General features: G+C 53.6%; 1 long non-coding RNA gene across 2 annotated transcripts in view, besides 1 other annotated feature; it reads right to left on the bottom strand.

Moving 5' to 3' along the window:
• LOC100506532 (uncharacterized) overlaps positions 1–20,885 on the bottom strand; it is a 58,996-nt gene extending 38,111 nt beyond the window's left edge. The window contains exons 1-3 of one of the 2 annotated variants that reach the window (NR_188442.1): positions 20,779–20,885; positions 13,075–13,352; positions 1,607–1,682 (exon numbers count right to left, since the gene is read on the bottom strand). This is a non-coding gene — a long non-coding RNA (uncharacterized LOC100506532). The remainder of the gene's footprint in view (positions 1–1,606; positions 1,683–13,074; positions 13,353–20,778) is intronic. The other variant, NR_188441.1, reaches the window with a different exon arrangement.
• Positions 13,357–13,979: an enhancer, noted in NCBI's record as "H3K4me1 hESC enhancer chr9:137385020-137385642 (GRCh37/hg19 assembly coordinates)". NCBI's record gives its function as "activates a minimal SCP1, AML or CMV promoter by ChIP-STARR-seq in naive H9 embryonic stem cells {active_cell/tissue: H9 hESC(naive)}" and the evidence as "EXISTENCE:reporter gene assay evidence [ECO:0000049][PMID:30033119]".
• Positions 20,886–22,920: the final 2,035 nt, after the last annotated feature.

Below are 22,920 nucleotides of genomic sequence, written 5' to 3'. Positions count from 1 at the left end.
CTAATATCCACAATCTACAAAGAACTTAAATTTACAAGAAAAAATCAAACAACCCCATCAAAAAGTAGGTGAAGGATATGAACAGACACTTCTCAAAAGAAGACATTTATGCAGCCAAAAAACACATGAAAAAATGCTCACCATCACTGGCATCAGAGAAATGCAAATCAAAACCACAATGAGATGCCATCTCACACCTGTTAGAATGGCGATCATTAAAAAGTCAGGAAACAACTGGTGCTGGAGAGGATGTGGAGAAATAGGAACACGTTTACACTGTTGGTGGGAGTGTAAACCAGTTCAACCATTGTGGAAGACAGTGTGGCAATTCCTCAAGGATCTAGAACTGTAAATACCATTTGACCCAGCGATCCCATTCCTGGGTATATACCCAAAGGATTATAAATCATGCTACTATAAAGACACATGCACACGTATGTTTATTGCGGCGCTATTGACGATAGCAAAGACTTGGAACCAACCCAAATGTCCATCAATGATAGACTGGATTAAGAAAATGTGGCACACATACGCCATGGAATACTATGCAGCCATACAAAAGGATGAGTTCATGTCCTTTGTAGGGACATGGATGAAGCTGGAAACCATCATTCTGAGCAAACTATCGCAAGGACTGAAAACCAAACACCGCATGTTCTCACTCATAGGTGGGAATTCAACAATGAGAACACTTGGACACAGGGTGGGGAACATCACACACCGAGGCCTGTCGTGGGGTGGGGGGAGGCGGGAGGGATAGCATTAGGATAAATACCTCATGTAAATGACGAGTTAATGGGTGCAGCACACCAACATGACACATGTATGTATATGTAACAAACCTGCACGTTGTACACATGTACCCTAGAACTTAAAGTAATTTTAAAAAAGTGTGTTTCACAGAGATGCCATTTGAGATCAGTGGGGAAGAGATAAATTAATTCAATAAACAATTTGGGAACAACTGAATACCCACCCACATGGGGGGGGGGAGTGAAATTGATACTTGACCTTAGATTGCACACAAAAACCAATTCCAGTGAAACAAAGACCAAAACATGGCAAACGCAATTCTACAGCTTTAAGAAACTGACTTGGGAAACGATTCCTCAGAGCACAGAAGGATTTCCCAAACGAGGGACCAAGGTCACTAACCGTAAACAAAAAGAAGATAAATGTCGCTGTTCGGCAAAAGACATGCTAAAGAAAGAGAAAAGACAAGCCAGGGTGTGGGAAAAAGTCGGAAACCCAGAACTAAGTCAAGGGTGCAAATCCGGGATATATAAAGAACTCCTATAAATCAGTACCTTTAAAAGGCAAACATTGCAATACAGAAATAGGCCAAAAAAATTGACTTTCAGATAATGAACCTGCAGTAGCCAGTAAACATGCCAAGGAACTCTAGCGCATCAATATGGAGAAAATTTAAGTTAAACCACAATACACAATTACCCACCAGATTGTCAAAAAAATGGAGATACCAATTATTGGTGAGGTTTCAGAGCAATGGGAATGCTCATTAGCTTGTCCATTTGTAAAAACCCACTCTGGAAAGCAATTTGGAATTGCCTTCCACCTTTGAATGTGTGGAAATCTCACAACTCACCAAATCCTCGAGACGCTCATGGACTCCAGCAGGAAAGCCGCACAAGCACGTCTGCGCCATTTTATTCACAGGATCCCTGAATGGAAGCAATGCAGGTGAATTGAGGAATAGTCAGAGAATGAAACATTACATGACAACGCACAAGAACAAATGACAGTCCCTGCAACAACACAGCTGACCCACACCCCCCCCCCCATCCACACGGCCCCGCACCCACCCATCCACATAGCCGGGCCACACAGGGGACCCACACCCCCCCATCCACACAGCCGGGCCACACAGGGGACCTGCACCCCCCCCATCCACACAGCCCGGACACACAGGGGACCCGCACCCACCCATCCACACAGCCCGGACACACAGGGGACCCGCATCCACCCATCCACACAGCCCGGACACACAGGAGACCCGCACCCACCCATCCACACAGCCTGGCCACCTATGCCCTCCAAGGGCTCAAAGAGCATCTCATTTGCCAACATAGCATCTTGAATGAGGTTGCCTCTGGCTGAGGCACAAGCTACAGTGAGAGAGGTGGCACAAGGACTGTGACCCAGGACAGAATTTTTTAAAATGCATGATTGCATTTATGTGCATCACAAATTGGAAAAATGAAATCATTTAGGAATGAGGACCACAACAAAAAACAAAACTGGCTGGGCGTGGTGGCTCACGCCTGTCATCCCAACACTTTGGTAGGCCAAGGTAGGCAGATCACCTGAGGTCAAGAGTTCAAGACCAGCCTGGCCAACATGGCAAAATCCATCTCTACTAAAAATTCAAAAATTAGCCGGGCATGGTGGTGGGTGCCTGTAATCCCAGCTACTTGAAAGGCTGAGGCAGGAGAATCGCTTGAACCAAGGAGGCAGAGGTTGCAGTGAGCCAAGATCGTGCCACTGAACTCCAGCCTGGGTGACAGAGTGAGACTGTGTCTCCAAAAAAAAAAAAAACAGTCATCACAAAAAACAAATCAGTGGCAATCTCTGCAGGGAAGGGCAGATACGATTGCTTCCGGGGGGCGTGGGAGGCACACCTGGAGGGAAGGCAGCATCATTTCTCCAGTCCTGAGTGGCAGTTACAACTTTCCCCTTTCACAGACCTGGAGACAAGGTCCTTCTCACCAGTTGGGGGAACTTGGCCTTCACCTCCCTTCCCTGGCCCTCAGTTTCCTCATGTGTAAATGGAGAAGATAAAGATAATGACCCCATCTCCCTGCAGCTATCTGGAGGCCACATGAGTGAGGAACCAGCCATGCCTGATGCGCCACGGGCACTCTGGTGCTGGCGGCCAGTGAGTGGCCGATGCTGCTGGATTTCCCCAGCAGGGAGTCAGTGGTATTCCTGCTGTACTGATGTGCGGACAGCAGAGGCAGGATTTGAACCCGAGACTACCTGACTCTAGAGCTTGTGCTCATTAACCTCTGCCCCCGATAGGAGGAGCAGGAGAGACCCAGCCCAAGGTTCGGCAGGGAATACAGACAGGGTGCCCGGCTGCCCTTCCTAGCACATCAGATCAGCCAGGGTGAGGCCTGGGCTGAGGCTCCCAGCAATTGTGGGTGGGCATGGGGGGAGCCCAGGGCACTGGCTGGTGAGGTCTGGAGAATGGCAACTTCACAGAGTCTAGTGTGAAAGGTACCTCTCCCCACTTGCAGTGATGGGAAACCAAGGCAGGGAAGGCAGTTGAAGGAAGCTGGTTCCTTGGCATGAGCTGGTAGGTTGGACCAGTGCCTGTCTGAAGGCATAGGGGAAAGGGGCCGACAGACGTGTCTGGGTGTGAAAAGGACCAGGATGTGAGGCTGGGCGTTGGCTGCTCAGTGTAGAGGAATGGGGTGCCAGTAGACCTGAAGGATGAGGGGCTCTAAACACCCTGGTCTGGCCCAGTTGCCACAGAGCCCACCAAATCTGGAATGCAGGCTGGGTGCTAGAGCAGAGCATTCTGGAAGCTGCCTCCAGCTGAGCAGGAAGGAGCACCACTAATTGTGGAGAGGGTGGAGCTCATTGCCTTGTGCCACCATTGCCACCCCAGACCACTGTGGCTGTCAGCAGGAACAGCGCCAGGCCACACTCCAAAAACTCCAGGCGCTTGTCCTAGGAGCTTCAGGACCCTGGGCCTGTGTCTTAATTGCTGTGAGCCTCAATTTCCTCACGCCAGGCCATTGTATCAAGAGTTCCCCAGCGAATGTTCTCCAGCCATGCAGCCCCCACTAGGGTGACAACTGTCTTGCTTTGCCCAAAACTCTACCACCCCTAGAGCTGAAAGGCTTGAGTCCTGGGAAGCCCCTCAGTCCCGGGCAAGTGAGCGTGGTGGGCCACCCTAAGACAGGCAGCGTGGGTTGGACATGGGGGCGGCCAGGGTCTCACCCCTCAGTGCCCAGCCTGCTGCCCACGACAGCTTTTCCACTGCGAGTGCAGCCCCCTCCCGGGCTTCTGCGCCGTGATTTCGTCACAACGCAGGGATAAGCCCAGACTCTCCAGACAGCTGGGCCTGGTCTGCTCAGCTCCCAGCTCCTGATGACTCAGCCCTGGCTAGGCCTCCCACAGACAAGGCCAGCCAGGGCTGCGGATGCCACGTCCCCACCTCAAGCCTGCCCCTGGGCCCCAGGATGGCCTCCCTGGCTCAGGCCCAGCTGCAGGCAACAGCAGCAGGATCCAGGGAGAGCTCCTGGCCTGAGCGACAGAGAGGCACCAAGCCTGCTCCCCAGCCACGTGGCCCCGCTGCTCACGGTCCTCCTGGCCCGTCCTGGAAGGGGGCTCGTCCATGGACACCCCCACATGAGACAGAGAACGAAGGCAGAGGGCAGGAGGGCGAGGACACGGCCTGGCGGCCTCTCGCTGTACCCACCTCTCACCCCAAGGCCCCTTCACCAAGCCCTGTGGGCCACAGCTGGCACTCAGACTCCACCAGGGGCCGGGCCCGGCTGTCACTCCCATCCTCCAGTGAGCGAACAGGACTCAGAGTGGGCTACATGGCCAGCTGGAGCCACCAGGCCCCCTGTCCCCCACGACCTAAGCTCACCCCTCCACCGGCCCCACTGCATCTGGGTGCAGAGAGAGGGCCCGAGTCTGCTCCCTGCAGGAGGAAAGAGGGTGCAGGGCCGCCGTTGAGGCAGTGGAGAGGCAGCAGGGAGGCAGGGGGAGGCAGAAAGGGAGAAGCTGGGGTTGGGGGGCTGCCGGCTGTAGGTACAGGGAGGAGCTCTGTGCCCAGAGGCCCATGGCGGTTCCCAGCCACATGGCTTGTCCCCCCACCCCCAGGGTCTTCAAGGACCCCACTCACAAGGGCAGCCCTGCAAAGAGAAGCTAGAGAGAGGTTGTGACGGGAACGGATGTGACGGGAGTATCGGGACCCCCAGCTCGAGGGTGGAGGGTGGGGCAGTCCTGGGGGCAGGTTGGGGAAGAAGTCACAGACACCCCCACCTCCACCCCACGCACAGAGCGGTCCTCCTAAGGAGACTGCTAGCAGCGGGAGAGAAGCATGGGCAGCCCCCAGCCCCGCCCTTCCTCTCACCTGCCCTCCTCTCCTACGCCCAGAGAAACCGGAGGCCAGAGCGCAGGAGCAGAGCCCGGGACCTGGGGCCGACATACTTTCCTCTCCTCCCAGCGACTCTCGAGTCTGCAGGACCAAAACCTCCCAGCAGCCCCCTCGCCTCGGCAGGAAGAAGAGGGCTGAAGGCTGAAGCTGCAGAGGGGGAGTTGTGATTTAGGTTGGACTAGACTCCTAGATACCCCCACAAGCCTGCCCTGACACCTCCGAAGTGCCCCCAGGACCCACGGGCCCACCCAAGTTGCCCCACAGGGGTAGGGAGGGAGACTCAGCAGGGGTGAGGGGCGGGTGGGAGAAGAGCCCTTCGCTAGGGACACACTCCCCCCGCTCCGAGCCCTGCACGCAGCCCTGATACACTTAGCCCGACTGTGATTGAAAACCACGCTAAGAGTTCTGGAGCCCATGCCCTGCCTGGCCGCCTGGCCTGGGTGGGCCAGGGGGATCCCCAGAAGGCGCATTTGAGCTGAGTCGGGACAGAGGAGGATGGGCAGACCAGGGGGGTCCAGGGGAGCAGGAAGGTCCCAGGCCAAGTGGGCAGCCAGAGCCCCGAGGCTGAGCATTTCCGCGCACAGGTTTCCCGAGGCTGAGCTTTCGCGCACACAGGTTTCCCGAGGCTGAGCATTTCCGCGCACAGGTTTCCCGAGGCTGAGCATTTCCGCGCACAGGTTTCCCGAGGCTGAGCTTTCGCGCGCACAGGTTTCCCGAGGCTGAGCATTTCCGCGCACAGGTTTCCTGAGGCTGAGCATTCGCGCCCACAGGTTTGTCCCTGCGTGCGTTGATTCATTCAACCGCTCACGGTGAGCGGGCTCTGGGCTGGCAGGTCCTGGCTGCGGGGCCTCTTCCCGTGGAGCTGACAGTCTAGGGATGGGCACGAGGAGAGAGGAGCAAAGGGTCAAGGGGAGGGGCAAAGGCCCAAAGACAAATAACAGGGGAGGAGGAGCCGTCCCTCTGCTCGCCCCCAGCTGGGGTGACCGCGTGGTTCATCCCTAAAACCAGGACACCTAGGATTTCTCCTGGCAGGGCACCAGGAATCATTAAATTTATAAAGGCTGGGAATGCATATTTTAGTGACTCGCTGGGTGTATGAAAATGGTGGCTCCATAAAAGACAGTCTGCCCTTGAACCACGAGGGGGTCGGGGCACCCACACTTCTTACAATTGAAAATCCATAGAAAGCTTTTTTTTGTTTTTTTTCCGATGGATTCTCGCTCTGTCACCCAGGCTGGAGTGCAGTGATGCGATCATCAGCTCACTGCAACCTCCACCTCCTGGGTTCAAGCGATTCTCCTGCCTCAGCCTCTTGAGTAGCTGGGATTACGGGCGCCTACCACCAGGCCCAGGTAATTTTTGTATTTTTAGTAGAGACGGAGTTTCCCAAAACATTAACTGCTAATAGCCTACTGTTGACAAGAAGTCTTACTGATAACAGTCAATTAACACATATTTTATATATGTATCTATACTGTATTCTTACAATAAAGTAAGCTAGAGAAAAGAATGTGATTACGAAAATCATGCTGGGGATGGTGGCTCAGGCCTGTAATCCCAACACTTTAGGAGGCTGAGGCAGGCGGATCACCTGAGATCGGGAGTTCGAAACCAGCCTGACCAACACGGAGAAACCCCGTCTCTACTAAAAATACAAAAAATTAGCCGGGCGTGGTGGCACATGCCGGTAATCCCAGCTACTCGGGAGGCTGAGCCAGGAGAATCACTTGAACCCGGGAGGCGGAGGTTGCGGTGAGCTGAGTTCACACCATTGCAGTCCAGCCTGGGAGACGAGAGTGAAACTCCGTCTCAATAAAAAAATAAAAAGTAACAAAAAAGAAAATCATAAGGAAGAGAAAATTTATTTACTTATTCATTAAATGGAAGTGGATCCTCATAAAGGTTTTCATCCTCATTGTCTTCATGTTGAGTGGGTTGAGGAGGAGGAGGAGGAGGAAGGGGGTTGGTCTTGTTGAGTCAGGAGCGGCAGAGGCGGAAGAAAATCCACAGGCAAATGGATCCATGCAGTTCAAACCCGTGTTGTTCAAGGGTCAACTGTAGTTCTAAACTACTTTCAAAAATACAATGCGGCCAGGCACGGTGACTTACACCTGTAATCCCAGCACTTTGGGAAGCCGAGACGGATGGATCACCTGAGGTCAGGAGTTTGAGACCAGCCTGGCCAACATGTGAAACCCCATCTCTACTAAAAATACAAAAATTACCCGGGCATGGTGGCGGGCACCTGTAATCCCAGCTACTCGGGAGGCTGAGGCAGGAGAATCACTTGAAACTGGGAAGCAGAGCTTGCAGTGAGCCGAGATCCCGCCATTGCACTCCAGCCTGGGAAACAAGAGCGAAATTCCAACTCAAAAATAAATACATACGGCCGGGCGTGGTGGCTCACACCTGTAATCCCAGCACTTTGGGAGGCCGAGGCGGGCGGATCACGAGGTCAGGAGATCGAGACCAGCCTCGCTAACACGGTGAAACCCCATCTCTACTAAAAATACAAAAAAAAAATAGCCAGGCATGGTGGCGGGTGCCTGTAGTCCCAGCTACTCGAGAGGCTGAGGCAGGAGAATGGCGTGAACCCGGGAGGCGAAGCTTGCAGTGAGCTGAGATCGCGCCACTGCACTCCAGCCTGGGCGACAGAGCAAGACTCCGTCTCCAAAAAAATAAATAAAGACATACATACATACATACATAATAAATAATGCTTCCTACAAGTATGAAAATGTATCTGTGTATACTAACACAACATAAAATAACATCTTTATACAAATTATTTTTGGTACATAACCATGCATTCCCATCAGTATCTCAGCCACTGGTCTCCAATAGTTGTCACTGGTGTTTTTTTCAATATGGCATTATATTTTTTTCATGAAATTCCTGACAAATCATTCAATTTATGTTAATTAATTTGAATTCTTTGATGCCCCCCAGAGCCAGTTCTCTGGAAATAAAATAGCATTTTTATTTGAGAAAAATACATTCTCACCAGATGCTGAGCTCAAACCTGACGGACCCAGCCATTTCTGCTGAGTAGGGAATATTGACAACCCTAGGTTGGTCTGTTTGGGGGCTTTTGGTTTGTTTCATTTTTGTTTTGTTTTTGTTTTGCTTAAATGTGTAAATATTTCATGCCAAATATTCTCACAGGTGCTGTATTTAGTGTGCCCTTCTTCAACAAATATATTTGTGAGACAAAATTCAAATAGGCCGTCTCTACATAGGATTCTTTTGAATGACCTTCTCAATTTTGTTCTGCTTAGTTTCAGAATGTAAATGTATCCACTTAACATAAAAGCACCAACAAAGCATTCTTCCCACAAGTAAAGATTTTCCAGAGCACAGTTATTCAATTTTGAAACTGAACATTGCACACCCGCTGGGCCTGTAGTTAAATTTGTTCTGCTTCCTCCTTGCTTTCATAGGGACAAGCCTCAGTGTACTCGCCTTTGCAGAAAAAGATGCAAAAGCTCAAGTGTTTTGACACTGTCTGTCAAATCGCTTGACTTAAAACCTCCAAATGGTTTTAAATAAAATGCAACCAAATTTAGAGACTCATTTTCTTTTCTTTTCTTTTTTTCTTTTGAGACAGTCTCGCTCTGTCACCCAGGCTGGAGTGCAGTGGCGTGATCTCAGCTCACTGCAACGCCACTACGCCCGGATCGTTTTTGTACTTTTAGTAGACAGGGGATTTCACCATGTTGGCCAGGCTGGTCTGGAACCCCTGTCCGCAAGCAATCCGCCCACCTTGGCCTCTCACGCGTAGTGCTGGGATTATAGTCATGAGCCACTGCACCTGGCCTGGAGACTCATTTTCAAAAATGTTCAATACCGTCATGTTGAATTACAAGGTAATTCTTCAATGGCTCAATCAAAAAGAAAGTTCATGCTTCCACGCGGAAAGGTTTTTCCTATACGCATCACTCTGACACAAACCAAACTACAGTTCAGCTACTCCGTGTGTATATAAAAATATGTGCACACTTTGACAGCTACACCCTCTGTTTGTACTGGTTGAATATCAAGCTTGTTTAAATGCAATGAGGAGTTTTGTACACCGCAACCAGATCCCAATAATGGGCTTCTTCATTGAGTCAGAACACTGCGTCTTTACCATGGTGCCATGGTACTCTAAAATTCATCTCCCTGTCACCATCATCAAAACAAATAAAATGCCAATGTTGACATTTTCTTGCTGAATTTGCAGCAGTATTGACTGTACGTCAGATGTTGCATATGTGATAAAACAAACTTCCAGATGCTTCACCTAGATTCCTGCAACTGGATAGGAAAAAAAAAAAAAATCAAAGCATTATTGGACCTAATTTAACTGACTTCCTGCTTGACACATCTGATGAGTCAAGCTAAACAGGCATCAATGAATGGTTTGCAAAGTTCTGAGAATCCATGCACAAGAAAATTTGGAATAAAAAGCAAGCAAAATTAATTTAGAGGAGCAGACATTTCATCTGAATAAAGTGGCAGGCTCCACAAAGTCCTGTATTAGGGGTTCCTCAGCCATCCTTATCCTCAGCCAGTCCTCTTAAAGTGACAGCTTGAAGGACTGACTCGCTCCTCCGGTTCTCGTGTGTCACTGCAGCCCCCATATTGGATGGTTAATGCCAACACTAAGTTTATATATGAGTTCATCATCAACTTCCTCGAGAAAGAGAAATAAAAATTTAATGTTGTTATTAAGCATGACTTTTTTTTTCTGCTTGTTGCTGCTGAATGGGTTTATTGCAAAATTTGAAAAGCATTACCAAACAGTAAAAAAATAGTTGTGGGTTTACGCTATTCAATAAATGGCAAAACCACAGGGGAGTTCAGGCGATTGTATGCTCACACTCAGGCAGGCCCTCTGCCTTTATTTTCCACACACATTTCATGTTCTCTCAACATGGCTTTTCCACCGCCCCACACACACTCCGGCCGCCCAGTGATTTCGTGCACGTGCCAGGCCATAGCAGCGACCGTACGTCAACCCCACTCTCTTGGAATGGCCCTGAAAGGCGGAGCTGCCAGCAGGACGCCTGTCATCCACGTTGCATGGAGGGAGACATGGATGGAGATTTGGATATGCTGTGAGTCCTGGGCAGTGGTCAGTGGCCTGGAAGGATGGTCGGGGCCTGGAAGGGCAAGACTGGAAAGTTGGAGACAAGGTGTCCTGGGGGAGAGGTGTGCAGATGGACTGGGAAGCGTGTGAAACTTTGTCTGGGGCCTCCTGGTTCATGGGTATGAGAGTAGCCAGGAGGAGAGATGCTGGGCCCGTGAGACAGCAGTGAGTCAGCCTGCCTTCCCCGCCACCCAGAGCTGAAACAGCGAGCGCACAGCCCCAGCAGCGTGGACGGCTCACATCCGAGAGGTTCTCTTGCCCAGGCCACCCGTGTCTGCCAATGCCGCGTGCCAGCAGAGCAGAGAGCCACTCGAGCTGTCCAGGGGAGACTTCAGTTCTCAAGGAGACCAACCAACCTCTTCATGACTGGTGACACGTCAGAACCCAGCTGACCCTGCCACCCTGGAGGCCACTTCCTCGCTGGGTGGACCCACATCCCAGCATGGCTCACCTGCCCTCTCCACGTGGCCTCACCACCTGCACCTTCCAAGGACTCATAGAGCATCTCATTTGCCAACACGGCATCTTGCATGAGGTTGCCTCTGATGAGGGACCAGCTACTGTGAGGGAGGTGGCATAGGGATCGTGACCCAGGAGCACCATGGCACTCAGAACCTGCCAGCCTGACAGAGTGGGAAAGACTCCTTAAAGTCCTTAGTAAAGGCTCCGGGTGGGGACAGCCTCTGCGCCGAGATACAGAATGCAGTGGCCCAAAGGTGGGAGCCACCCAAAGGTCCAGCAACGGTGATGGAGAAACAAAACCGGCCCATCCGCACAGTGGAGTGTGATTCAACCACAGAAAGGAGCGAAGCTCGGATGCATGCTGCAACGGGGACCCGAAAGACATGGGCTCAGGGAAGACGTCAGATCCCAAAGACTCATACTGTACGATCCTATTTGTACGAACTAGAATAGGAAAAAGCAAATCATACAGACAGAAAGGAGACTCACGGTTACCAGGGGCTGGGGAGAGACTGTTTAATGGGTAAAGAACGCTCCTCTGGAGTGCAAAAAAGTTTTAAAATGAGAGAGAGGTGGCGGCTGCACCTGGTAAATATACTGATTGCATATTTTAAAGTGGGGGATTGTAGGTTATGTGTATTTCACCTCAATAAAAATAAAATAGAGCCGGGCACGGTGGCTTACACCCATAATCCCAGCACTTTGGGAGACCAAGGTGGGCAGATCACTTGAGGTCAGAAGTTCGAGGCCAGCCTGGCCAACATGAAACCCCTTCTCTACAAAAAACACAAAAATTAGCCAGGTGTGGTGGCTGGTGCTGTAATTCCAGCTACTAGGGAGGCTGAGGCAGGAGAATCGCTTGAACCCGGGAGGTGGAGGTTGCCGTATGCTGAAATCACGCCATTGCACTCCAGCCTGGGCGACAGAGCGAGACTCTGTCTCAAAAATAAATAAATAAGAAAAGAAAAAAGGTACATTGCATATATTTTGAAACATCACCCTTAAACAAATAAGATAAATTAAATTAATAAATAAGAAAAGAAAACAGGTACAATGTATATATTTTGAAACATCACCCTTCAGGATATGATGTATGCTTGAACCCACGGATTACACAGAAGACATGGGCCAGGAACGAAAGTGTGGAGGCAGGAGGGATGCTCCTCTGTAGGGTGAGAGGTCCTGATGCCCGGTGTGGGGCGCTTCCTCCAGGGACCATAGTGAGGACCCCGCTGACCTAACGCTGCAACTGCTGGCTGGTCACACAGGAAGCGAAGAAAGCAAACCCTCCCTTGCCTACCAGGAGGAGCTGTGGTCACTGCTACGTCAGGGGGCAGGGACCTGGATTCTAGGCCCCGCTTGGTGCCAGCAGGGTAACAGTAATGGACAAGCCCAGCAGCCAGGCCTGGCCAGGGCAAAGCCAGCCCTCAAAGAGGGAGGTCTCCATCACTCCATGGCAACAACCTTGGGCTGGAAGTGCCGGTCCAGGAAGAGACACCGGCACGGGATGGAGGGGGAGGTGGTGATCTCAGGTGTGACGCTGGAAGGCCTGAGGGCCGCAGGGGCTGCAGCCGGACTCACAAGCTCTCCTGATTTAAGAGTTTGGGGAGGAATGCTATTAGCCACCACCCTGAAGAATCAAGGACAAATGAGAATGGACTTGGCAGGGGCTTCAGGGGATTTGGACGAAGCCAGGGGTGGACTCCAGCAGCCAGCATCAGTGCCCGGCCCAAACCCCCACCCACCCCCCATCCACCCCGAGACAACTTGCAGGCACTCCCCGGAGAGCATCCCCACTTCCCTTTTCCTTCCTGGAAGGGTTTCCCTGGCCACCGGGGGCAGCTGAGGCTGTGAATGAGGTGGACTGAAATGCTGGAGTGCCAGAGCCCCTGAAGGACCCCCAGAACAGTTGGGGATGGGAACGGTAGCTGAGTACTCCGGCGCCATCCACCACCCCAGCGCCATCCACCACCCCAGCGCCATCCACCATCCCAGCACCATCCACCACCCCAGCACCATCCACCACCCCAGCGCCATCCACCACCCCAGCGCCAACCACCATCCCAGCGCCATCCACCACCCCAGCGCCATTCACCATACCAGCGCCATCCACCACCCCAGCGCCATCCACCACCCCAGCGCCAACCACCATCCCAGCGCCAACCACCACCCCAGCGCCATTCACCATCCCAGCGCCATCCACCATCCCAGCGCCATCCACCACCCCAGCGCCAACCACCATCCCAGCACCATCCACCACCCCGGTGCCATTCACCACCGCAGCACCATCCACCACCCCAGCACCAACCACCACCCCAGTGCCATCCACCACCCCAGTGCCATTCACCATCCCAACGCCATCCACCATCCCAGCAGGACCACTCGGCACATCATGGGCCTCTGTTCTCGGAGGGTCCCCAGCAGGCTGAGTTGCTTTGCGGGCTCCCTGCTTCCCATCCTGCTTCCCCCGGTGCCTCGCAGCAAATCCTAGACTCCCCTCCAGAACAGCCACTTGTGCCCAGACCCTTGTCTCGGGGTCTGCTTTGCAGGGACGCCACCTGAGACTAAGGACCCTGCAGGCTGTCCTGACAAGGGCGGTCCTGACAAGGGCAGTGTTAGTCGCATCTGAAAAAGAGAAGAAAACTGCAGGTGGCTCCGGCTGATGGTTTTCCAGAATGAACCACAGATGCGACTGTGGCAGACACTGCAGGTGCAGGGGCCAAGCCCCACCCAGCCTGTCTGAAGGCAGCTACTAACTAGACTTTGTTAAGCAGTGAAAATCCAGGGCAAGGCTCAACAAACGGGGTGCCTGGAAAGAGGCTTCAAAGGGGACTTCACCAGGCAAAGGCAAGGGCAGCCCTCCCGGGGCACTGCCAGGATGCCGCTCCCTCGGTCCGTCTTCCCCCCGTCACCCTGATCCCAGCACCCAGTGCCTTCTCTCATCCACAGGATGGCGGGAGCCTCTGACCTGGTGGTGTGTGCTCTGTCCTCACCCTGCGGTCAGGGGAGCTTAGCCGAGTGGCAGCTGGTGACGTCCCTGCCCCACCTTCATCCCACCCCACACTCTCCACTCACACTTAGAATCCTGCCATTTGCTCCCAGGGTTTCAACGCGGCTGGGCCGCCAGGACTGCTGGGCCAGGGTTTCAGATATTGAAATACTGCCTTACAGGTCAGGGTCAGTACACAGTCACTTCCCCACCCCCATCCCCCAAACACCGGGGTCTCAAAGGGACTAAAGGGTTAACTCCACAACTGGCCCCGGGACATTACTGCAGCCTGGCTCCCAGCTCTCCCTCTAGGGGATAGGGGGGTGGTCATTGTCGAAATCCCCTCGGTGCTTCCACCGTGCGGCCCTGCCCCCGGCCCCACCTCCTCCCTGCTGTCCTGGGTCACCAACTCCCTGGTCTGTGCAGACCCCAGGCACTGGCCCCACTCCCTCCTGCCACAGAGCACAGCCTGTCTCCTCTGTCTCGGAGGCGAGGCTACGGCCCCAGCTCTCCACCTCACTAACTCCTACTCATCCCTCAAAATCTTGACTCAGATGCCGCTTCCTCCAGGAAGCCCTCTCTGACCTCCGAGGCAACTCTGGCCCCCACAGAACTGAGTGCCCGCCCTCTTGGCATGGCCCATGTTACACTCTTGGTTCTCGGGTCACTTGGCTAACACCTCCAGGCTGTTAGCTTGTTGGGGCCGGAGCAGGTTGGGTTGGATTTGTTCTGTTTTGGTTTTTTCCCCGCTGTATCCTCAGCACCGTGCAGGGCACCCAGCCCAGAGCAAGAACCTGGCTAAGGGAATGAATGGACTAGTGAATGGAATGCGGTCCTCACTGGCCCCGCGTTCCCTGCGAGCTCCCCACCCAGGAGGTGTGGGCTCCGCTCTGACTCCGGACTCTCAGGAGTACTTCAGCTGCATGGAGCAATCTGCTCAAAAGCCCAAATGGACTCCTTATCTTAAAGGATTGCACAAAACCCTGGAGCTCGCTTTAATCCCAGCTGTCCATGTAGAGAACACGCAAACCAGCAGTGCTCAGGGCCCCCGGGTGAACTCACTTATCCTTAATCAGCAGCAGATGCTGGGAAGGGCGTGAGCAGGCTTTTCTGAACCATATGGACTGTTTCTTAATGCTCATATTGAAAATTCTTCAGAGGCAGATCAGGCTTTAGCTGGAGGCCTCCTCTTCTTGCGGGTCATGCAGGCTTTAGCTGGAGGCCTCCTCTTCTCTGATCCGGCCTGGTGCTTGGGGTAGGGTCCATTCCTCCTCTGACCTCCCAGCCTCACGGGTCAAGACCTCCAGGGGTAGCCCAGGCAAGGGCCAGGCGAGGGGCACCACCATCAGCCTCCAAGAAAATGCAAGTCCGACATCCCGAGCCCGTGGCCCATTTTCTTGTCAGGACTTGGGCAGAATTTCACCCAAGTTAGCAATGGCTTGTCCTCTGACAATCAGGTGACAAATACTTACCCAGCACCTCCTGCACCGTGGCCGGAGGGCCTGAGAGGCAGGTGGAGGCAGGAAGAAGTGGTCGGGATACTGGAGGGGTTACAGTGGCTCTGGGGTCAGACGTGGGTTCAAACCACAGCAAATCATTTTACCACTGACTCCACAGTCCCCTCATCTATAAAATAGAAAACAAACAAACTCTCCTTTCAGAGAGTCAGCAGACGCACTGCGCCCGGCACCTAGTAGGCCATCCATACGCGGAAATGACTTTGTGATGTACCCCCGTCCAAAAGGCTCTGGGCTCAATAAAAGACAGCCCTGGTCATGGCCACTCCCCCCAGCTGTCCCAGGAGCCAATTTCTGACCACAGACGGATCCTGCTTCTAGCTCAGATTATCCTGCTTCTAGCTCAGATCCCCTTCTTCATCCACAGAGAGAACCCAGACCCAGGATTGCGAGCACGCCGATGAGAAAAGAAAGACAGGAGAGTCAGACACCGAATTCACGGAGCAGGTCACGCCCCAGGAACAGGGCAAAGAGGCTGTCGCTGTTTCTGCAGTTTCCTCTGATAAGAGGAAGCGACGTGGCCCATGTGCTCTGATCCAGCCTGGTGCTTGGGGTAGGGTCCATTCCTCCTCTGACCTCCCAGCCTCCAGTGAGCTCTCGGGCGAGAGGAAGTGGCAGAGCCCCTGACACCCAGAGGCACACAGCACGAGGCAGGATGGTGTGGCACACGCAGAGACACAATAACAGAATACTCCAGCCCCGCCTCTCTCTTTTTGTTATTCTTGGGTATCTTTTTTATATTTTTTTTTTTTAGAGACAGAGCCCCTCTGTCACCCAGGCTGGAGTGCAGTGGTGCCATCTCGGCTCACTGTAACCTCCACCTCCCAGGTTTAAGTGATTCTCATGCCTCTGCCTCCCAAGTAGCTGGGATGACAGGCACCTGCCACCCCACCTGGCTAATTTTTGTATTTTTAGTAGAAACGGGGTTTCACCATGTTGGCCAGGCTGGTCTTGAACTCCTGACCTCAAGTGATCCACCCGCCTTGGCCTCCCAAAGTGCTGGGATGACAGGCGTGAGCCGCCGCACCCGGCCTATTCTTGGGTATCCTTATTGAGCAGTTACTCTGGCCAGATCCCCGGCTAAATGCTCTCCACCACCCCGTATCTCACAGATTCCTCCCAACGAACCAATCTAAGCACCAGGATTGTGCACGTGGAAGGCTCTGAAGTGTCAATAACTTGCCCAGGATCCCAGGCAGAGCAGTGAAGATTTGGACACAGGCCTGAGGCCTATCAGGACACTCATGCAGAAAGGAGGCCTCCATGCCGGAACAGAGGCCCGTCCTCCACACACACAAGTGGAGCCCAGAATCCTCTGCTGATTCTCAGGAGGTTGATTCTCAGGTCCCCACTGCCTGTCTCTTCTAAAGATGGGATGTAATCGTGTCAGAGTTGACTTCACAGTGTCTGCGTCATTGTATACCTGCTACGGTGCAGGCTCAGCCATCTGCAACTTCCATTGTCCCCCTGGAACCCGGAGGGAAAGAGCCCCTCCCTCCATTGGGCATCCGTATATGAACCATGCAGACCTCTCCTCCCTGTCATAGACAAGGCACTGAAGCCCCTAGAAGAAATGGCCACCAGTAGTAAGGGGCTGACTCAAGCATCTACCACATGCTGGCGCTTTGCATCACTGACCCTCTTCAACCTTCCCAAACTGTGTGACATGGTGACATCACCCCAACCACCCTGACTCACAAGGACACAAGCTCCTGGAAGGGACCTGACCGCGGGCAGTGGAGTTTGGATTTGAACCCAAGTTGGTGGCTCCAGAGGCTGGGCTCTTCTCATCATAAGGCCCTGTGACCCTCCCAGGGGATGTTCCCCACTCAGCCCCTTTCCTTTGGGGACAGCCACACTGGGGAGGGTGGTTCCTCGCAGCAGGAGCTGGGTCCTTTCTTTCCACCTGCATGATCAGCTCATCCAAAGCAGGGTTCTGTACTGGTGTCTTTCTCTCCTTCCTGCATCCACCTCAGGGTGAGAAATGAAGCAGTGTTCCAGTACAACCTGGAATCATCCCGGAGCGAGTGTGGCCCCGTGCACGGAGGGAGATGTGCTCCTTCTAGGAGGAATGGTAAATAGGCTTCATCTCAGAAGCCCCCTGCAACCCAGGGGTAGTGCCCCTCCCAGCCAGGTGAGAGGTTGTGTATACAAGTCGGCAATGGCCAGATCGCATATAAAAACAGGACTCTGACCCACAATCCGCAGCAACCCACCCAGGACACAATGCATTACCCACCACAATCAGCCCAGGAAGCCGCCTGCCACCCACAAGTCTGCCTTGCAGAGAACGTCAGACCACTGTCTCTTGCAAACAGTCCAAGAAGCCAAACAGTAACCCCTGTAACAATCTGCCCAAAGTGGCCTGGACTTGATGAATAACTGGTATGTTTCCTAACATTTTCCTTCCTTCCAACTTAGGACCAACCAGAGAAAACTAAATCTGTATCCCTAGCCCATTGCACAGGACACTGCTTCTAATCAACCACTTCCAGCTTCCCAACACCAACAGCCTCCAACCAGGGCTCACCTGAAGTCTTCCCTTTTGTCCTCTATGGTATCAGGTTTTTCTACTTCTCTGCCTGCCTTTGAGCCTCTGCTAAAACATAAGTGACAGTGGCCGACTCCCGTGCTAGAGTCAGCCTCTGCCTGTTCTCACTTGGGTGGCCTTCATTTATTTTCACCAAGGGCACTGTGTAAAGAAGGGGTCTGAGACTCCTTCTGGGCTTGGCGGCCAATTAGCAACATCTGCCATGGCATAGGCGGTGGGCAGGGGGGTGACCTGGATGCTCAGAATCAGCCCCTCCAAGGGTACTTCCTCCTGCTTCCATCAGAAAGATGCCTCTGTCCAAGCACCCTCCTTCTGCTTCCCTGATCCCGGGCGACTGGGTGAAATGCAGGAGGGGCAGCTGGTAGGGGAGCGAGGGAGCTTGCTCCCCCACTGAGCTAACGAAAAGCACGGCTTGGCACTGGCAGTTTCCCTCTGCCCCTCATCTCACACTGGAATGAAAAATGCAACGTGGAGCTTCCGCAGGCAGATAGCAGACGTCCCCAAACTCTGATGGTTTGACCACGAAATCAGCACAACACTGATGAGATCACAGACGGTTAAAATCCCCCCAGGCAGGGCAACAGGGCAGGATCCCAAGGACAGAGCTCGGCAGAGGTGGCCGCCGGCCCATCAGGCTCTGACTCTCTCCGAGGCACAGTCACTGTGGGAAGCAGCTGCCTGCAGGGACGTTTCCCAGCGCCCTCGTCACTGGGCGGAACCGAGGCACCAGTTCTCAGCAGGGGAAGCTCAGAAGTGACAGAAGCACTTCCGTGTGGGTACATGCGGACACCAGCGCCTCCATGCACTCTCTGTAAAGGGCTCAGAGAAGCCACCAGACAAAGGAAGCCAGGTTTTTATGCAACTGTTCAGCAGAGAACTGCCCGAGCAGGGGCGGCTGCCCTGGGCCCCGCCTGAGTGAGGCTGCATCCTCTGTGTCTGCCGCCACGCTGTGCCAGGCCAGGGAGCCAGGTGACCGCCACCCACTGCAGTCGTATTCACATACGTGAAGGCATGAGGCATCCAGCATGAAGGGGCATCCTCTGTCCTGGAGGAAATAAGGCATATGCCTATAATCCCAGCACTCTGGGAGGCCAAGGTGGGTGGATCACTTGAGGTCAGGAGTTTGAGACCAGCCTGGCCAACATGGTGAAGCCCTGTCTTTACTAAAAATACAAAAATTAGCCAGGTGTGGTGGTGCCTGCCTGTAATCCCAGCTACTCGGGAGGCTGAGGCAGGAGAATTGCTTGAACCTGGGAAGCAGAGGTTGTCGTGAGCCGAGATCACACCACTGGACTCCAGCCTAGGCAACAGAGCAAGACTCCATGAAAGAAAGAGAGAGAGAGAGAGAGAGAGAAAGGAAGGAAGGAAGGAAGGAAGGAAGGAAGGAAGGAAGGAAGGAAGGAAATGAGCAGGCGCCCATGCAGAGGGCACGTGGGAATGAACGTCCCTGCCTACTCTTGGTAGAGGTGGGGGCTGGGTTGCTTTTGCAGAGGTCATTTGTCAGTTGGCATCAAAATATAAGAAAAGGCATTTGTTCAGAATCTGTAGTCCTGACCTGCGAAGCCAGCCTCAGAAGTAATAAGCCAAGTTCAGAAGGTTCAGGGAGCGTTATCTGTATTAACAAATCAATGGGCATCCCCTAAAAGTCCCTCACCAGCAGACTGAAGGAAAGAGGGTTTGCTGTGCTCGTGGCATGGGGCACCCATATGGTGCCCTAGAACATGCGGGACTGCCAAGTTCAGCCCTGCCTACCGTCCCTCCTCACTGAGGAAGGGGTCCGCACAGGAGAGATGAGCCCCTGACGGTCAGTGTGCCCAGCTTCTTCCCATCAGGGCTGTGGTTCCATGCCGCCTGATGGGAACTCCAGCAAAGCCGACTGGGGCCTATGATTTGGGCTCAAACCCAGATCTGGAGGTTCTCCCTCTCCAGCTAACTGGTGGTACAGAAACTCAGGCATGACCATGCTCTAGGGCACATAGCAGGGAGAAGGGGGGCAAGAGGGCTGGGCCCATGGGGATGTGGGCTCAGCTCACAGCTCTGCCTGCATGGAGCAGGGGAGGGTGAGTGACCCAGCTGGGAGGGTGCTGAGGTCTCTCCATCTGAAGAGCAACAACATCCTCATGACAGCGGTGGCCACTGAAACTGCTGATGGACAAACACACGGATGGTGAGGAGCGTGGGCCACGCAGAGTTCATTCACCATGGATTTCCAGGCTGGGGCGTTTCAGCGGAGCTCTGTCTCTGTCTCTGATCGTCGGATCTGGGGAGATTTTCCCTCCCAAGTGAACCTGGCTCAACTGTTTGAATTGTCCACAATGAGCACGGATGCTCTTTGTAGAGAAACAAATGATTTGTAATGAGTTGGCAGAGAGATTATCATGGAAGGAACCTCCCGTAAGGTGGCAGAGGCAGCGTGGTATAGACACTAGGAGAAAAAAGGCCCCCACACTGGGCAGAGCCTGGTCCTGGCCAGGAAGAGGCACCCTGCGAGGTAGGACAGAGCCACCACGCGGTTCTTCCCAGCGTCCCCATGAACACTCGCCGGCAAGCACCTCCCTCCACTTTGTCCCAAGCCCGCCAGGCACGTGGCAGCCTAGGACTCCCCCACCCACCATTTCCTGGAGAAGGCCATCTGGCACTGCCCGTTTTGTGTGTGTGAAAAAGTCCCGGTCTGGGTCCCTGGGTCCCACCACGAGCGGCTTCGAGGCTTGGACACTCCCTTCCCTGCCTGGGCCACTCTCCCCCTCCATCCAACAAGGAGAGGCCGCAGAGCCCTCTCCATGGTCCCACCCAGCCCCAGGAATCCTGTGATTTCATGAGCCCACGGTTATTATCCCTGGGTAAACTCTCTAGCCCACAGCATCACAGGCTGAGGAGCCAATTCCAGAACCGAGTGCTGTGTAGGCGTGAGGCGCACGCCCGCAGTGCCAGCCCGGCTCTGCCTTCCATGGAAAATCCACATCTGAAGGCCTGGCCCGGGCACCTAGGACTCACCAGGCTCTGGGCGCTGAGTCTGGGTAGAATTTAGGAAAGTCTCAGGCCAGGCGACTTCCTGGAGCAATGGCACCGCTCCCTGGCTTGCGGGGCAAAGGCGCTGGGCCAGCCTGGGTGCGATCCCCGTTGCCAGGAGACTCGGACATACCTCATAACCCCTGCCAGGCCCCACCAGCCTCTGCCACACCCCACCAGGCTGAGCTTGGGAAATCCAGTGAGGTAGGAGAGCAGGAAGACCCCTGCCCAGGAGCAGCCGGGCCTAGACACAGGCCGGCTCTGCCTCTTCCTGTCTTCACAGCCTGGAGCATGATGCTTTACCCCCGTTAGCCTTGGTTTCTCATCTGTCCAGTGAAGGGGTTTCAGCAAAGGTCTCAGCAAAGGCAGCTGTGGCTGACGCTGCCCGTTCCCCGGCACTCCCTGACCTGCAGCCTCTAATTTAGAGTTTCTCTGGTCTCTGTCTGTGGCGAGGGACAGGAGTGGGGAGAAATGCCCCAGCTTCCTCTCCCTCAGACGGAACACTCAGGGGGATTCACCACTGTCATCCAGAGGTCCCCTGGGGACTGCACCCAAATTTCTCACAGTGGTGGCCAGCTTGCTCACGTACCTCACTTCCGTATCAGAGCTTCTTGGGATCACCCCCACAAATAAACTACTCACACTCAAGTATTCTGTCAGAGGCTGCTTCCAAGGGACCCTGACCTAAGGCAGCCATGCCAGACGCAGAAAGCCTTCTCCTGAAGCACCAGGTAGTCAGTGTTTTAAGCCATATGAGCCACGGGGCAAATTGAAACTATGATGCTGGCATGTAGGTGCCCAGTGGAAAGGTACACCTTGAAAGATGCAAGACCTTAGGGCCGCAAGAAGCAGGCAGCAGGCCACATGTGGCCTGGGTCACAGTTTGCTGACTCCTGCTATCACATATGGATCCCAGATCTCAGTGGTTTAAGGAAATAAAGGCCAGGCACAGTGCTTCACGCCTATAATTCCAGCACTTTGGGAGGCTAAGGCGGGTGGATCATTTGATCCCAGGAGTTTGAGACCAGCCTGGGCAATGTGGCAAAATCCTATCTCTACAAAAAACAGAAAAATTAGCCAGGCATGATGGCGTATGCCTGTAGTCCTGACTACTCAGCAGACTGAGGCAGGAGGATTACCTGAGCCTGGGGAGGTCCAAGCTGCAGTGAGCTGTGATCCCACCACTGCAATCAAGCCTGGGTGACAGAGTCAGATGCTGTCTCAAGAAAGAATAGAAAAGAAAAGAAGAAAAGAAAAGAGGAAAGAGAGAGAAGGAAGGAAAAAAAGAAAGAAAAGAAAGAGAGAAAGAAATAAGAAGAAAGAGAAAGAAAGAAAGAGGGAGAGAGAGAAAGAAAGAAGGAAAGAAAAGAAAGAAAGAAAAGGAAGGAAAGAAAAGAAAGAAAAGAAAGAGAGAGAGAGAAAAGGAAAATTTGCTTCTTGCTTAGATAAAGTCCAATTGGCAAGGGGCAGGTAGCACAGGATTCTAGGCCAGGTTCAGGGGCCTGAGCTGATAGATGCTCTGCCATCTGGCACAGAGGGTTTCCCAAAGTCACTCTGGGCATCAGTGTCCACCCAACATCCAGTTAATGAAGGAAGGACGGAGGGCATGGGGGTGGCACAGGAGGCTTTTATGGGACCCAGCATCTGGTCCCAGCAATACCCAATGGGCAGCCAGCCACATCCTCCCCAGGGGCAAGGATGTTGGTAGTCAGGACACAGACTGGCAGTTGGCACCACCTCCCCACTTGGCTGTGTGCTAACAACTCCCTTGCTTGTCTTCACAGCTTCCTCCTTTTTTTTTTTGAAACAGAGTCTTGCTCTGTTGCCCAAGCTGGAGTGCACTGGTGCGATCTCAGCTTGGTGCGATCTCAGCTTAGTTCAACCTCCACCTCCTGGGTTCAAGTGATTCTCCTGCCTCGGCCTCCTGAGTAGCTGGGATTACAGGCATGCACCACCAAGCCCGGCTAATTTTTGGATTTTTAGTAGAGACAGGGTTTCACCATGTTGGCCAGGCTGGTCTCGAACTCCTGACCTGAGGTGATCCACCCACCTCGGCCTCCCAAAGTGCTGGGATTACAGGTGTGAGCTACTGAGCCCAGCCAGCTTCCTCCCCTCTATGTTCATCCC

Source organism: Homo sapiens, chromosome 9 (genome assembly GCF_000001405.40).
Source record: "Homo sapiens chromosome 9, GRCh38.p14 Primary Assembly".
NCBI classification, from domain to species: Eukaryota; Metazoa; Chordata; class Mammalia; order Primates; family Hominidae; genus Homo; species Homo sapiens.
Note: the sequence above shows the minus strand (reverse complement) of the source record. Positions and strands in the feature narration are given on the sequence as shown.